We start from the raw sequence: 15,019 nt of genomic DNA on the forward strand, positions 1-15,019 counted from the left end.
CAAGGATTTGAATCCAAGCTAACTCCAAAGCTTATGCTCTTCATTATTATGCTAGTCTGCCCTCCAAAGGTGAAGAAATCAAGTGACTTCTTTCTTTAATTTACATTTCACTTATGTAGCATACAGTTGAAATAATAGGCTTTCTATTGGTATCTTTCTTTGAATGTGGTCTTGGATTCACTGGATGAGGCCAGTCAGTTATATGAATTATTTAAAAAAACAATTATTCTTATCAAGTATATTTTATAGGTATGGTTTAGATCGGGAGCAAGTGAGTTTGCTTGTGCTTCTTATGTCCTTTTATTCTTACTGTTTATCCCATCTGCTTTCCTTTAAATGGGCACAATTTAGACTTTATATCCTAAGAATTCTCTTTGATGAGACCATAGCCATTTCTATGCCTAATTTATGTAGTGGATACATTATAAATACAAAAATTTAGGCCAGGCGTGGTGGTTCATTTCTGTAATCCCAGCACTTTGGGAGGCCAAGGCAGGTGGATGACTTGAGGTCAGGAGTTTGAGACCAGCCTGGCCTACAGGGCAAAACCCTGTCTCTACCAAAAATACAAAAATTAGCCGGGTGTGGTGGCACATGCCTGTAATTCCAGCTCCTCAGGAGGCTAAGGCATAAGAATCGCCTGAACCTTGAAGCGGAGGTTGCAGTGAGCTGAGATCGAGCCACCGCACTCCAGCCTGGGTGACTGACTGAGACCCTGTCTCAAAAAAAAAAAAAATTAAAGCAACTAGTAACCAACTAATCAGAATCTCTCCTTTTGGCCAATAGAGGCCACTGTATGGTGGAGCAGTATGACAGAAATAAAGTAAATTGAGCAATATTACTTTACCTGAGGAGGGGGATGTGTGTGTGTGTGTGTGTGTGTGTGTGTGTGTGTGTGTGTATAAAACATTGAGCTTACTAGCTTTTTAAAAAACTTTTGTTAAAACAGTATTGTTGAGGTCTAATTCACATGCAATAAAATTTACCATCCTAAGTATAAATGATTTTTAATAAATTTATAGTTACACAGCCATAACTACAGTCCAGTCTGAGAACATTTCATCACACTAAAAAATTCTCTCATGTCTCTTTGCAGTCGATCCTATTTCCATTCCCAAAGCCCTAGCCAGCCAAATACTAATTTGCTCTCTGTCTCTATAAATTTGCTATTTCTGGACATTTTATATATATGGAATAAAACAGTATATAGTCTTTTGCATCTAGCACCTTTTACTTAGCATAGGCTTTTGATATTCATTCATATATATGTTGTAGCTGGTATCAGTAGTTCGGTTCCTTTTTATTGCTGAATAGTATTCCATTGTATGGATATACCACATGTTGTTTATTCACTCACCAGCTGATGGACACTTGGATTGTTTCAAGTTTTTGGCTATTATGGATATTGCTGCTATGAACATTCTCATACATGTTATCAGTATGGATATTTGTTTTCATTTTTCTTGGGTAGATTTTTAAGAATGGAATTGCTAGGTCATATGGTAAGTTGATATTTAACTTTTTTTTTTTTTTTTCACTTAAAATAAAATAGAGATAGGGTCTCGCTTTGCTGCCCAGGCTGGTCTTGAACTTCTGGGCTAAAGCAATCCTCCTACCTCAGCTTTCCAAAGTCCTGGGATTACAGGCGAGAGCCACTGTACCCAGCCAATATTTAACTTTTTAAGAACCTACCAAACTATTTGCTACAGTGACTATACCATTTTTATAGTCCCATCAGCAATGTATTAAGGTTCCATTTTCTCTACCTATTCACCAACACTTGTTGTCTTTTAAAAACATTTTTTTAAAATTGCTCCTTGCAGAGCAGGGTTAACTCATAGGTAGTACACCCAGAGTTGGCTTGTTGTCTTTTTTATTATAGCCATTCTAGTGGGCATGTAGTGGTATCTCATATGTTTATTTGTGTATTTATTTATTTTTTGAGACACAGTCTTGCTCTCCTAGGCTGGAGTGCAGTGGCATGATCTCGGCTCACTGCAACCTCCACCTCCTGGGTTCAAGCAATTCTCATGTCTCAGCCTCCCAAGAAGCTGGGATTACAGGCATGCACTACCACACCTAGGTAATTTTTGTATTTTTACTAGAGACGGGGTTTCACCATGTTGGCCAGGCTGGTCTCAAACTCCTGGCCTCGAGTGATCTACCCACCTCAGCCTCCCAAAGTGCTGGGATTATAGGCATGAGCCACCGTGCCCAGCCTCGTGTGGTTTTAATTTGTATTTTCTTACTGATAATGATTTAAACATATTTTCATGTGTTTGATAGCTACTTATATTGGGTGAATTGTCTATTCAGTCTTTGCTCATTTTAAAATTGAGTTGTCAGCCAGGCATGGTGGCTCATGCCTATAATCCCAACACTTTGGGGGGCCAAAGAAAGAGGATCACTTGAGGCCAGGAGTATGAGACCAGCCTGAATAACATAGTGAGACCCTGCTTCTACACACACACAGACACACACACAGACACACACACACACACACACACACACACACACAAGTAAAATTGAGTTGTCTTTTGAATATTGTCAGATTCTTTATAAATTCTGGATGCATGTTCTTTATTGGATATGTGATTTGCAAATATTTTCTCCTAGTATGTGGTTTCTCTTTCCATTTTCTTAAAAGTATCTTCTGTATTACAAAAGTTGTTTTGTTTTGATCAAGTTTAATCTATTATTTTTTCCTGTTATCATTCATGCTTTTCCCACTAAATATTTTCTTTTTTACCGTTGTGAAATGAAATTATTGTCGTTAGTTTATTTCCAAATTGCCTGTTTCTGGTATATATAGCTATAACTAATTTTTGTGTATTGATTTTGTATCATTTGAATTAATCAGTGAAGCCATTTTGTAGCTGGGATTTTTTGTAGGAATATTTTAAATTAGTAATTCAATTTCTAGTTGTATGTCAATAGCTTTTTAAAAACAGCTTTATTGAGATATAATTCATATACCATACAGTTCACCCACTTAAAGTGTAAAATTCATCTGTTGCTTTTAAAACATTTTCGTCATCTCAAAAAGAAACCTCCCACCCATTAGCGGTCAACCTCATATCCCTCTATATCCCCACCTCTACCCCTAAACAACCACTAATCCACTTTCTGTCTCTACCTATCACCTGTCAATGTAATATCCCTCAATATCCCCACCAGCAGCCCTAAGCAACAACTAATCAACTTTCTATCTCTATGGTTTTCCCTATTCTGACTTTCGTATGAACTGAGTCATGTAATATGTGATCTTTTGTGACTGGCTTCTTTCACTTAACATAATGTTTTCAAGTTTCATCCTTGTAGTAGCATGTATTAGTATTTCATAACCTTTTAAAAAATAAAGTGAAATTCAGATAACATGCAATTAGTCATTTTATTTTTATTTTTTGAGACAGAGTCTCGCGCAGTCACCCCAGCTGGAGTGCAGTGGCGTGATCTCAGCTTACTGCAACATCTGCCTCCTGGGTTCCAGCAATTCTCTTGCCTCAGTCTCCTGGGTAGCTGGGATTACAGGAGCCCACTACCACGCCTGGCTAATTTTTGTATTTTTAGTAGAGACAGAATTTCACCATGTTGGCCAGGCTGGTCTCGAACTCCTGACCTCAGGCAATCCTCCTGCCTCGGCCTGCCAAAGTGCTGGGATTACAGGCGTGAGCCACCAGGCCCGGCCGCAATTACTCATTTTAAAGTGTACAGTTCAGTGACATTTAATATATTCACAGTGCTGTGCAACCACCCCTCCCTGGTTTCAAAACTTTTTCATCACTGCAGAGGAATACCTGTACCATATGTAAGTAAGCACTTCTCATTCTCACCTCCCCTGGCAACCACTAATCTGCTTTTTCTCTATTGATTTGCATATTCTGAATATTTTAAACAAATGGAATCATGCAATATGTGACCTTTTGCATCTGACTTATTTTATTTAGCATAATGTTTTTGAGGTTCATCCAAGCTGTAGCATGTATCAGCACCTCATTTCTTTTTCTGGCTGAATATTATTCCATTATATGGATTTACCACAATTCATTTACCTATTCATCTTTTGTTTCTGCTGTCTGGCTATTATGAATAATGCTTCGATAAACATTCATATACAAGTTTCTATGTGGCTTTATGTTTTCATTTCTCTTGGCTATCTACATGGGAGTAGAATTCTAGGTCATAATATAATTTTATGTTTAACTTCTCAAAGAATTGCCAAAAGGTTTTTCATAGTGGCTGCATCATTTACATTCCCAACGGCAATGTACAAGGATTTCTATTTTTCCATATTCTTGCACTTACCAACACTTCTTTTTTGTTATTATTTTGTTTTTTCATTATTGCCACCCTAGTGGATGTGAAATGGCATCTTATTGTTTTGATTTGCATTTCTCTAATGACAAATGATATCATACTTTTTTTATGTGCTTATGGATCAAAGGTATTTCCTTGGAGAAATGTCCCTTCAAGTCCTTTGCCATTTCAAAATTTGGTTATTTGTCTTTTATTATTCAGTTTTAAGAAATTCTGGCCAGGCGCAGTGGCTCACCTGTAATCCTAGCACTTTGGGAGGCCGAGGCGGGCAGATCACTTGAGGTCAGGACTTCGAGACCAGCCTGGCCAACATGGTGAAACCCCATCTCTACTAAAAATACAAAAATTAGCTGGGCATGGTGGCAGGTGCATGTAATCCTATCTACTCAGGAGGCTGAGGCAGGAGAATCGCTTGAACCCAGGAGGCGGAGGCTGCAGTGAGCCAAGATCACGCCATTGCACTCTAGCCTGGGTGACACAGAGACTGTCTCAAAAAAAAAAAAAAATCTTCATATATTTTCAGTTAGTTATGTTTCATCAGATACATGATTTACAAATGCTTTTTCACATTTTTTGTAGGTTGTTTTTTCACTTTCTTGATGATATATTTTGAAGCACATATGTTTTTAGTTTTGAAGTTCAACCTATTTTTTTTGATTTTTACTTCCAGTGTCATATATAAGAATCCTTTGCCAAATCAAGGTTAGGAAGCTTTATACCTATATTTTCTTCTAAGAGTTTTGAGTTTTACCTCTTACATTTAGGTTTATGATCCATTTTAAGTTAATTTTTGTAGATGGTAGGAGAGTCCAACTTCATTCTTTTGTATGTGGATATCCAGTTATCCCAGCACCATTTGTTGAATAGACTGTTCTTTCCTGTGTTAAATGGTCTTGGCACCCTTGTTGAAGATCAGTTGACTATAGATACATGGGTTTAGTTAAATCCATAGATGTATAGGTACAGTTAATTATAGAATTACCAAATAACTCACAATTTCTACTTGTAAATATATACTCAAAAGAATTGAAAACAGGCACTCGAACAAATAAATGTACATGCATATTCACAGCAGCGCTATTCACAATAGGCAAAAGACAGAAACAACCTAAATGTCCATTAAGGGATGCATGGATAAACAAAGTGTGGTATATACATATAATGAAATAGCAGTCAGCCATAAAAAGGAATGAAGTACTAATACATGCTACACCATGGGACATTATGCTAAATGAAAAAAGCCAGACACCAAAGATCACATATTGTAGAAATCCTTTTATATTAAATATCTAGAATAGGTGCATCCATAGACACAGAGAGCTGTTGGTGGTTGCCAGAGTCTGGAGGCAGGGGGAGCTGCTAATGCTGAATCCCTGAGGGTTTCATTTTGGGATGATGAAAATGGTTGAAACTAGATAGATACCACGTGTTGCGTGGTGGTACACAACATTGTACCTGGACTTAAATGCCACTAAATTGTTTCTCTTCCTTTTCTTATAAGGGCACTAATCCCATCATTCCGGCTCCATCCTCATGATTTCACCTAAACCAAATTATTTTCCCAAGGCCCCACTTCCTGAGACCATCACACTGAGGGCAAGAGCTTCAAGATATGAAGTTTGTGGGGAATGCCAACATTCAGTCCATGACACTAAGCAAAGTCTTCCTGTACTCTTCCCACAGCTTCTTGATGCAGTTTTCTACGTTGTCAAATGTATCAGCTTGTGTCAGTCCACTTTTTCCCCGGAGCCCTTTGTCTTCATGTTATAATCTAGACCTGAAGCTCATTAAGCCTGCTACACAGCTGTTGTCCTAGAAATTTAACTCTCTCCTGCACTGAATCTCCTGTTTCCTGGATCCCATGTCTTCTTTCTTCCTTTACATCTTCAATTTGGTGGCACACATTGTCCAGTAGTTTCATGAGAAAGGATACATTAGAGATAATTTTTGTGTGTATCTGAAACTACTATTATTCTACCAACTCTCTTGATTGTTTGTCTGGGTAGAGATTTCCAGGTTGCAATTCATTTTCCCTCAGAATTTTGAAGCCATTGCTTTATCATCTTAAGATTATCGTTGAGAATTTGATGTTGTTCGTCTTAATCTTTTCTATCTACCCCTGTCCTTTCTGAAAGTTTTTGAAATCAGAGACATATTTCTCTGTGGTAGTCTGATATTTCACAGTGATAAAAGGTAAATGTCATTTTCCCAGCCCCTTGAAAAGTTCTTATATTATTTCTTTGATAGTTCTCTCAGTTTTCTCTCTTCTGACTTTCTGGAGAAAAAGATCATCTGATTTAATCACTCATTTCTCCTATTACACATATATTTGTATAATTCTTTTCACCTTCTAGGAGATCGACTCACCTTCTTTTTCCTACCTTTCTATTGCATTTTAATTTTGTTGACTAAAATTTTACTTTCTAAGAGCTCATCTTGTTTTCTGATGGTTTTTCTTCCTCCTCCTCAATCCAACCCATCCCCTCTCCTTCCCTGGCATCACTGCCTTTCCCCCTTTCCCTTTTTCTCCTCTCTCCCTCTCCTTCATCCCCTCTTCTTCTCCTCTCTCCTTCCTGTGCTCCTCCTCTTCCCTCTTTCTCCACCTGCATCCTGTTCCCCATCCCTTGCTGTATTATTTTCTTTTATCTCTGAGGGCAGAGATTGTGGAATTTTTAATTTGTTCTCCATTTACTCTACTTTAGTTATCTTTTGTCTGAGCCAGCATTCTGTTTCCTCCAAGTTGCTCTTATCTGTGTTTTGGTTTTGGTTATATTTGATGTCCATTCATCTCTATGGGCAAGGCTCTGCAAAGCTCATTGGAAGATGTGTGTGAGTGGGGTGGGTGGAATGGTAGGCTTCACTGTAGAATAACAGAGCATGATCCAGTTGATTTAGCTGAAGGACACCCAGATGTCTGTATCTGTGTTTTTGGACGGGCTGTTCTGTTCCTTCCAGAATAAAGATCTTTCAGTATCCTCCATGTAAATAAAAGTTACCCCTTCATTTATTATTTGTAAGTATTGGGATTTTAACATCACACTGTCTTAAAGTAGGACACAGCTCAGTTTATTCATTAAAATAAAAGAGTTGGACTTGATCCTTTCTACCTATAATAACTCCATGAGGCTTTGCTATAACCTCTATTTAGAATAATTTAAAGGCATTTAATAGCTTAATATAATATATATATAATATATTAACTCACACACTTTCTCTGCAAAGAACCTGTGTGGGGCACAGGGGTGGGGAGGGTGGCTACTAAGCTACTAATAAACCAAACACATATTGTGCCTTCTAGAAGATATGTCATCTATATCAATTAGCATAATGTAAGACAGAAAATCATAAATGAGGCTGGGCCAGATGGCTCACATCTGTAATCTCAGCACTCTGGGAGGCAGGTGGATCACTTGAGACCAGCCTGGGCAACATGGCAAAACCCCATCTCTATAAAAAATTAGCCCTGCATGGTGTTGCTTGCCTGTAGTCCAGCTACTCAGGAGGCTGAGGTGGGAGGTTCAGATGAGCCTGGGAAGTCAAGGCTGCAGTAAGCCATGTACTCCACTGTACATGTACTCCAGCCTGGGAGACAGAGTGAGACCTTGTCTCAAAAAAAAAAAAAAAAAAAAAAAGGAAAAAAAGTCATAAATGAAAGGCAGACATACCTGGCTTTAAATTGCAGCACTGCCTCATACAAGCTGTGTGACCTTGAGCAAGCCAAAATCCTTTTTGAGTCTGTTTCCTCATTAATTCCACTATGTGATAGACCCCGTACTGACACTGGAATAAGAGTAGCAGATAACAAATGTACTTCTCTCCATGGAGCTCATATTTATTACATGTTGTTATTAGGTACAATTCTATTTTAATGCTTACATTTTTTTATACCCTGGCATTTCTGTGGTTAAAGTAATGCTAACACATATTTTGTGTCCATACACTATACTTTTAATGATCATTTCTTAAGACTATTTTGTTCATTTACACCATTTGGTTTTTTGAACTTGAAATGTCAAAAGTTTAATGAACTATCGTAAGTTGGAAAATTAACTAAAATAGACAGTATTTGTTTACCAGAATTCATTTGAGGGCCGTGTATCCTTTAGTGTATAAAAATCTTTTTGGTGTAAAAACATTTGCTATAATCTTTTGCTGATTGTTGTTTTTATGCTAGCTCTTAATAGGATATTGTTAACATCTAAGTCTAGGAATTGGGATTCCCAAGATACTGATATAAAATGCTGTAACAGAAATTTCTATGCTTCTGAGGTTTATAGAACTCAAGGAGATTCTTTTTACAATGCGTGTTCTTAAAGCAATATATCCCTAAGGGCACTAATGGTTGCTTTTCCCTCTCTCATTTTCTCATTTTAGGGAAACTAAAACCAACAATGGCATTCATGTCAGGGAAATTGAAGATTAAAGGTAACATGGCCCTAGCAATCAAATTGGAGAAGCTAATGAATCAGATGAATGCCAGACTGTGAAGGAAAATATAAAAAAAAAGTCGACTGCTATGCTCAAAAAGTAAAAAAAGCTCAACAGTTAAAATCTAATGTTTGTTTTCTTTCCTGTTATATTATAAGGATATGCACGTTTGTTCTGGAAAAGATAGAATTTGTCTCTAAAAGACTTGAAATTGTAATTAAAATGGCAAGCTAATCAAACATAAGCTTCATTAAGTGGGATTCTAAGACAGTCTGTGTTTTTATATTTCAAGGGTTTAACCCTTTGAGCCTTACATCTCATTCACTGTCTTTCTCCAAGAAAAGTATTTTGGGCGGACAGTCAGATCAAGCAGTAAAATTAGCTCTTTCAAATCTTCTTGTCATGTAAAATGAAGCTAGTCTGTTTTAAAATTTTTAGTTTTGGATTGTATACTAATGAAAATCTTAATGATGTTTTTGATTTTTATATACTTATTTTAAAGAAAATCTTATATAGTACATTTTACAAAAATTATAAAAAATGAATTAGTACTGGCGAGGACTAAATGAAACAATAATTTTTCATTTTGATAACTAGCTTTCCAGGTGGACTTAGCCATAGGAAAATATTACTAATGTAATTTAACAAATTGCTGCATGTATTCCATTTAAAAATATGTTTAAATTGTCCTAAAACAAAATAATTTTCTCCCTAGGAGTATGCATTTGGCTACAGTGTTTTGAAACAGAAACCTTAGAATAGGTCATTGGTATGGGCTGAACTGTGTATCCCCCAATTCATTTGTTGAGGTCCTAACTCCCATTTCTTTTGAATGTGACTGTTCGGAGATGAGGCCTTTAAAGAGGTGACTTAAGTTCAAAGGAGGCTGTTAGTCTAATCCAACATGGTGTCCTTTGGACATAAGAGATACCAGCAATGTGTGCACAGAACAAAGACCAGGAGAGGACACAGTGAGAAGGCAGTTATCTGCAAGCAAAGAGAGAGGCTTCAGAAGAAACAAAATCACCAGCACCTTGATCTTTGACTTCTAATCTCCAGAATAGTGAGAAATAAATTTCTGTTGTTAAGCCGTCCACTGTGGGAGGCCGACGCAGGAGGATTGCTTGAGGCCAGGAGTTCAAGGCCAGCCTGGACAACATAGTAAGACCCTATCTCTACCCCCCTAATAAATTAATTTAAAAAGCCCCCCAATCTGTGGTATTTTATTATGGCAGCCCTAGCAAGCTAATACAGTGGTTTGAGAGGCTGGGAGGGTTGAGGGGAAGATAAACTTTTAAAAAGCTCTTATCTTTCATTTCAATCAGTTAAAAATACTTGCTCAGTGTAACAATTTTGCTTCTCAGCTTCCACTCTAATATTGTTGTGCCATTAAGCAATTTAGCTAATCCTGACATTTCTTAGATTCATAATGTTAGGAGCATTTAATCTGTATTTTACAAGTTAGGAAGCAGAGGATCAGAGATGGGAAAGGACTAGCCCAAGGCCAACATTAACAAGCCCTCTAACAAAAACTTTACAATACATTTATGTTGAATGGAACTCCAAGATCTCACCTCTCCATCCAGGAATGGAGTCCATGTAATCAAAGTGAACTTAAAAATAGGACAGTTTCAACAAGTCAGGAGATTCACAGCAACTGATCAAAGGGAGTCCAGTCAACGTGAGCAAGCGTGATTATGATGAGGAAGCCCCCTCTGCTTTAATCCACACAAGGAACGTAACCTGAAGTAACCTGATGTTAACCAATCTGCTGTGTCTACTATGCTGTTTCCTTGTTCCTGCTAGTGCTGCTTTACAAATGCAGACCATTCTATCATACCTGGCGGGGCTTCTGTTTTATTTTGTAGGCTGGATGCTACCCAGTTCATGAATCGCTAATAAAAGCCAATTAGATCTTTACATAATTTGTTGAGATTTTATTCTTTGACATTCTTAAAGGTTTGGGAAAATTAGAGGTAGAACATACCGTGAGGCAGCAATCTCTGGGTTCTGGTCATTAAAATATGAATTTGCTAATTATACCTATCCCAACAGGGGGATTGAGTCAAGGGACCTTGCCCTTTTCTGGACTGACCTGCTTGATTATTGCCCTAAGTGATTGTTAGTTAGGTTGCCCATTGGAATCTCTGCCTTCTGGCTTTAAAAATTTTTCCAGATTGGAGTAAATTGAGCTGACTGGTTTTGAGCTTTGTAATGTTAGGGGACCAGCAATGAGTTCCTCTGATCCATCCAATCATTAGTAGATTAAATCTTTGTTTTAAACCCATCACAGTCCACTATTCATCCCTTTTTAAAATAACCATTTAAAAATTTTCTACCCTGAATTGCATTTTGAAAGGGATGGTTCCTAGGTAACACAAGGTAGAAAATTTACATCTCAAAGGCAGAGAACTTACATTTCAGGCCTAAATATTGTTATTTGCCAAGACAGAAAGTTGATGCTAAGAAGCCCAGTTCAGACAAAATGGTTGAAGGTGAGTTTATTTGGACTAATGCTCTCACCTATTGTAAGAATTTCTACTGATTTTCCTTTATAGATACACGTTTTTACAAAGAGTTTCAAAATAACTGGCTAAATACCAGAAACGCAAATTTTGGAGACTGATTTAATTCAATAGGCGGTCTTTTCAACTTAGCTTCTGTTTCTTAACTAGATTACTGAGTTCAGGGCAGAGCCCATTAGCAAATAGAGCAGACAAAGGGTTTCCTATTTCTGGATGCAGATGGATAGTTCTGAAAATGCAAATCTGCTTCACCCAAGGGCCTAATTTTTATAAATATTACCTAGCTTTCTTTTTCCCTTTGGAGTAAAACAGTAACTAAGTGAAAAGATTGGCAGATTCAATTTTCTTATAAACTAGTTGCTTAAACTTTTCATTTGCCTTCTACATGAGCTCTTTTAAAGAGACAAACATTTTTGAAATCTTTTTAGAAGCTTTTGCACATCAATAGGTATCCCTAGGAGGGCCTGATTCAGAAGCCCTCATTTTTAAACTCAATTCTTAGATGAACAGTCTTATTCATCTGGAATGTTCCACATAATGGTCATCATAATTCTAATTTATCTTTAGTAAGATTTCACCATTTTTGTAAGTATTTGCAGCTTCTAGGCCCTAACACATGTAAAAGGTAAACATAGCCAGAAGGTGAAATACACAGTTCTTTAAAAATTTAAGGATGCTGGCCAGGCGAGGTGGCTCACACCTGTAATCCCAGCACTTTGGGAGGCTGAGGTCGGAGGCCAGGAGTTTGAGACCAGCCTAGCCAACATGGTGAAACCCCGTCTCTACTAAAAATACAAAAATTAGATGGGTGTGGCAGTGTGGCCTTTAATCCAGCTACCCAGGAGGCTGAGGTGCGAGAATTGTTTGAGCCCAGGAGGTGGAGGTTGCATTGAGCTGAGACTGCGCCACTGCACTCCAGCCTGGACAACAGAGTGAGATGCTGTCTTAAAAATAAAAAAAAAGAATTAAGGATGCCATTTTTAAGTTGAATCTTGAGTCTCTCAGAGTCAAGATAAAAGTCTGAGTGAAACGCCATGAGGTTGGGTCACTGTGTTTGCTATCTATCTACCTATCTATCTATCTATCTATCTATCATCATCTATCTTATCATCATCTATCTTTATCTATCTATCTATCTATCTATCTATCTATCTATCTATCTATTTTTGTCCAGGTTTCCTGGCTTGTAATTCCCATAGCCCTTGTTACAAGCTTTTGTTACAATGTTGGGTGTTAGGCCTTGCAGGCAGGCCTCAGGAAACAGAATCTCTCTGACCTTCTCTTGCCTTCCTTTCACTTCCGCAAGGCAGAACTGTGGGTCATATAAACCCTTATTCCAGAGAGGGTCCTGCTCCATATGCTGGGGGAAAGAATGCCAACTTAATGAAGCATCCATAAAAACCCAAGAGGACTGGGTTCCAAGAGCTTCTGGATAGCTGAACACATGGAGGGTCCTGGAGGGTGACACACCCCGGGAGGACTGGAGAGCTCTGTGCCCCTTCCCCAATACTGTGCCCTATGCATCTCTTCATATGTTATCCTTTATGATTTTCTTTGCAATAAACTGGTAAACGTGTTTCCCTGAGTTCTGTGAGCTGCACCAGCAAATTAATCAAACCCCAAGTGGAGGTTGTGGGAACCCCAACTTGAAGCCAGTTGGTCAGAATTTCCAGACACCCAGAGTTACAACTGGTGTCTGGGAGGTGGGGCAGTTTTGGGGACTGAGCCCCTCGACCTGTGGCATCTAACACTATCTACCTGGAGACAGTAGATAGTGGGCAACATGGTGAGACCCACTATCTCCAAGTAGATAGTGTCAGAATAAAACTGGAGGACACCTACTTGGTGTCCACTGCTTAGCGTGTGGGAAAAACTCTCACACATTTGGTCACAGAAGTCTTCTTATGTGTTGATGATTGTTGTTATGTTAGTATGAGAGCAGAGGAAAAATGGTTTAGAGTTTTTTCCCAAAACAGTCATGTAATGCTATCATAGTATACCTCAGTGCATAGATGTTTTATTTTTTCTGCCACTCATTCTAGAGTGCAGTGGCATGCTCATAGCTCACTGCAGCCTTGAATTCCTGGGCTCAAGGTCTTAGCTTTCCAAGTCTCAGCTTTCCTGGGCTCCTGCCTCAGCTTTCCAAGTAGCTGGGATTACAGGCACATACCACCATGCCTGGCTTTGTTTGTTTTTTGTGTGGACAAGGTCTCACTTTGTTGCCCAGGCTGGTCTCAAACTCCTGGCTTCACGCAATCCTCCCACCTCAGCCTCCCAAAGTGCTGGGATTATAGGTGTGAGCCACCATGCCCAGCCTAAATAATTTTTTAAATTCCAGTTTTTAATTATTCTTTGTTAGGATACAGAAATGCTTTGTGTCCTGCAATACTGTTAAATCTCCTTATTAGTTTTAGCAGCTTTTTTTGTAAATCCCTTAGGATTTTCTATGTATGTGATTGTTATCTGCAAATAAAGGCAGTTTTATTTCTTCTTTTCCACTCTGTGTGCCTTATTTTTTTTTTCTTGTCATATTGCACTGTTAGACCCACAGTATAGTGGTGAATATTGGTGGTGAAAATGGATATCCTAGCCTTGTTCTTAGTCTTAGGGGGAAAACACTGTGTTTTTTCACCATTAACTATGATAGTTGTAGGGCGGTTTTTTTGTAGATGCACATTATCAGGCTGATTGTTGTTTATCTGCTGAGTATTCTTAATCATATATGATTGCTGAATTTTGTCAAATGCTATTTCTATTATCTATTGAGATGATTAGGTTATTCTCCTTTATTCTATTAATATGGTCAATTAAAATGATTTTTTAAAATTACTTTTACTTTTTTTAGAGATGGGCTCTTGCTGTTACCCAGGCTGGTCTCAAACTCTTGGTCTCCAGCAATCCTCCTGCTTTGGCCTCTCAAAGTGCTGGAATGACAGGTGTGAACCACTTTGCCTAGTCTAAAATTATTTTTTAAGTTAAAAATATTTATTGTGCTGTTTTCCCCAACCCATGTTTGTTGAAGCCAAATGTACTTAAATAGAGACAAATAGCTGTATCTAGGGGAATGATGGCAGTTTAGGAAGTATCAGGCTTCACTCCCAGCCAACAGAAAAGTTCAACTAGAAACTATCCACAGGCCAGAAAATCCTTTTGTAAACCCCAATACTTGGAAACAAGTTTGAGACACACATGGTCCACAGAACGGAATGAAATCTGAATTAGAAGGATAAGGAGGACAGTCTCCCCCCCGCCCCCCCCCCCCCCCGCTTTTTAATAGACTGTGTCTCACTATGTTGCCCAAGGAAGAATGGTCTTATTCCAACTGTGGCACCCCTTTCCCTCCAAGTCAGCACAATGCCAGACAGAAAAGATTCTCCTGGCCCACAGTTTCTACTAGGGGAAAACAGAAATTGAAATAGTCATCTAGCTTCCCTAGCATTCTGAGATGTTTCCCAGGCAGCCCACTGTGGTTTCCCCTACCTACCCTTGGGGAAATGGCACCACTACACGACTCAGGGCCAGGTAGAAACAATGAGAGGAGGCAGAGGTCATAGTAACCAGCACATGGATCTTGGTAATACCTCTACGTTTCTGCCAGCTGTGGCACCAGATTAGAGATACCAGCCAGTCTCAAAGCCCACCCACAAAGCTGAGCTGGTCACCTTCAGAAGCATGGTGGGAATTTCAAGCTAGCTTGAGTCCCTAGATAGCTAGTCTCTGTGCCCAGCCTCGGAGCCCACCCCAACAAT

The 15,019-nt window shown here is 38.6% G+C and overlaps 1 protein-coding gene and 1 long non-coding RNA gene across 8 annotated transcripts in view; one reads left to right on the top strand and one right to left on the bottom strand.

The window, feature by feature from the left end:
* Positions 1 to 10,665, top strand: part of HSDL2 (hydroxysteroid dehydrogenase like 2) — a 92,298-nt gene extending 81,633 nt beyond the window's left edge. For all 5 annotated transcript variants that reach the window (NR_036651.2, NM_032303.5, NM_001195822.2 and 2 more), the window contains one exon: positions 8,692 to 10,665. Coding sequence is in view for 4 of the 5 variants with exons in the window: in NM_032303.5 (NP_115679.2) it covers positions 8,692 to 8,804 (113 nt within the window). In the remaining variant the exon portion in view is untranslated. The remainder of the gene's footprint in view (positions 1 to 8,691) is intronic.
* The window catches only part of HSDL2-AS1 (HSDL2 antisense RNA 1), a 35,847-nt gene that overhangs the window by 9,943 nt on the left and 10,885 nt on the right, over positions 1 to 15,019 (bottom strand). For 2 of the 3 annotated variants that reach the window (NR_171779.1, NR_171778.1), the window contains exon 3: positions 7,983 to 8,097. The exons of the other annotated variant lie outside the window; for it this stretch is intronic. This is a non-coding gene — a long non-coding RNA (HSDL2 antisense RNA 1). The remainder of the gene's footprint in view (positions 1 to 7,982; positions 8,098 to 15,019) is intronic. 3 annotated transcript variants of the gene reach the window in all.

Source organism: Homo sapiens, chromosome 9 (assembly GCF_000001405.40).
Source record: "Homo sapiens chromosome 9, GRCh38.p14 Primary Assembly".
Lineage (NCBI taxonomy): Eukaryota > Metazoa > Chordata > Mammalia > Primates > Hominidae > Homo > Homo sapiens.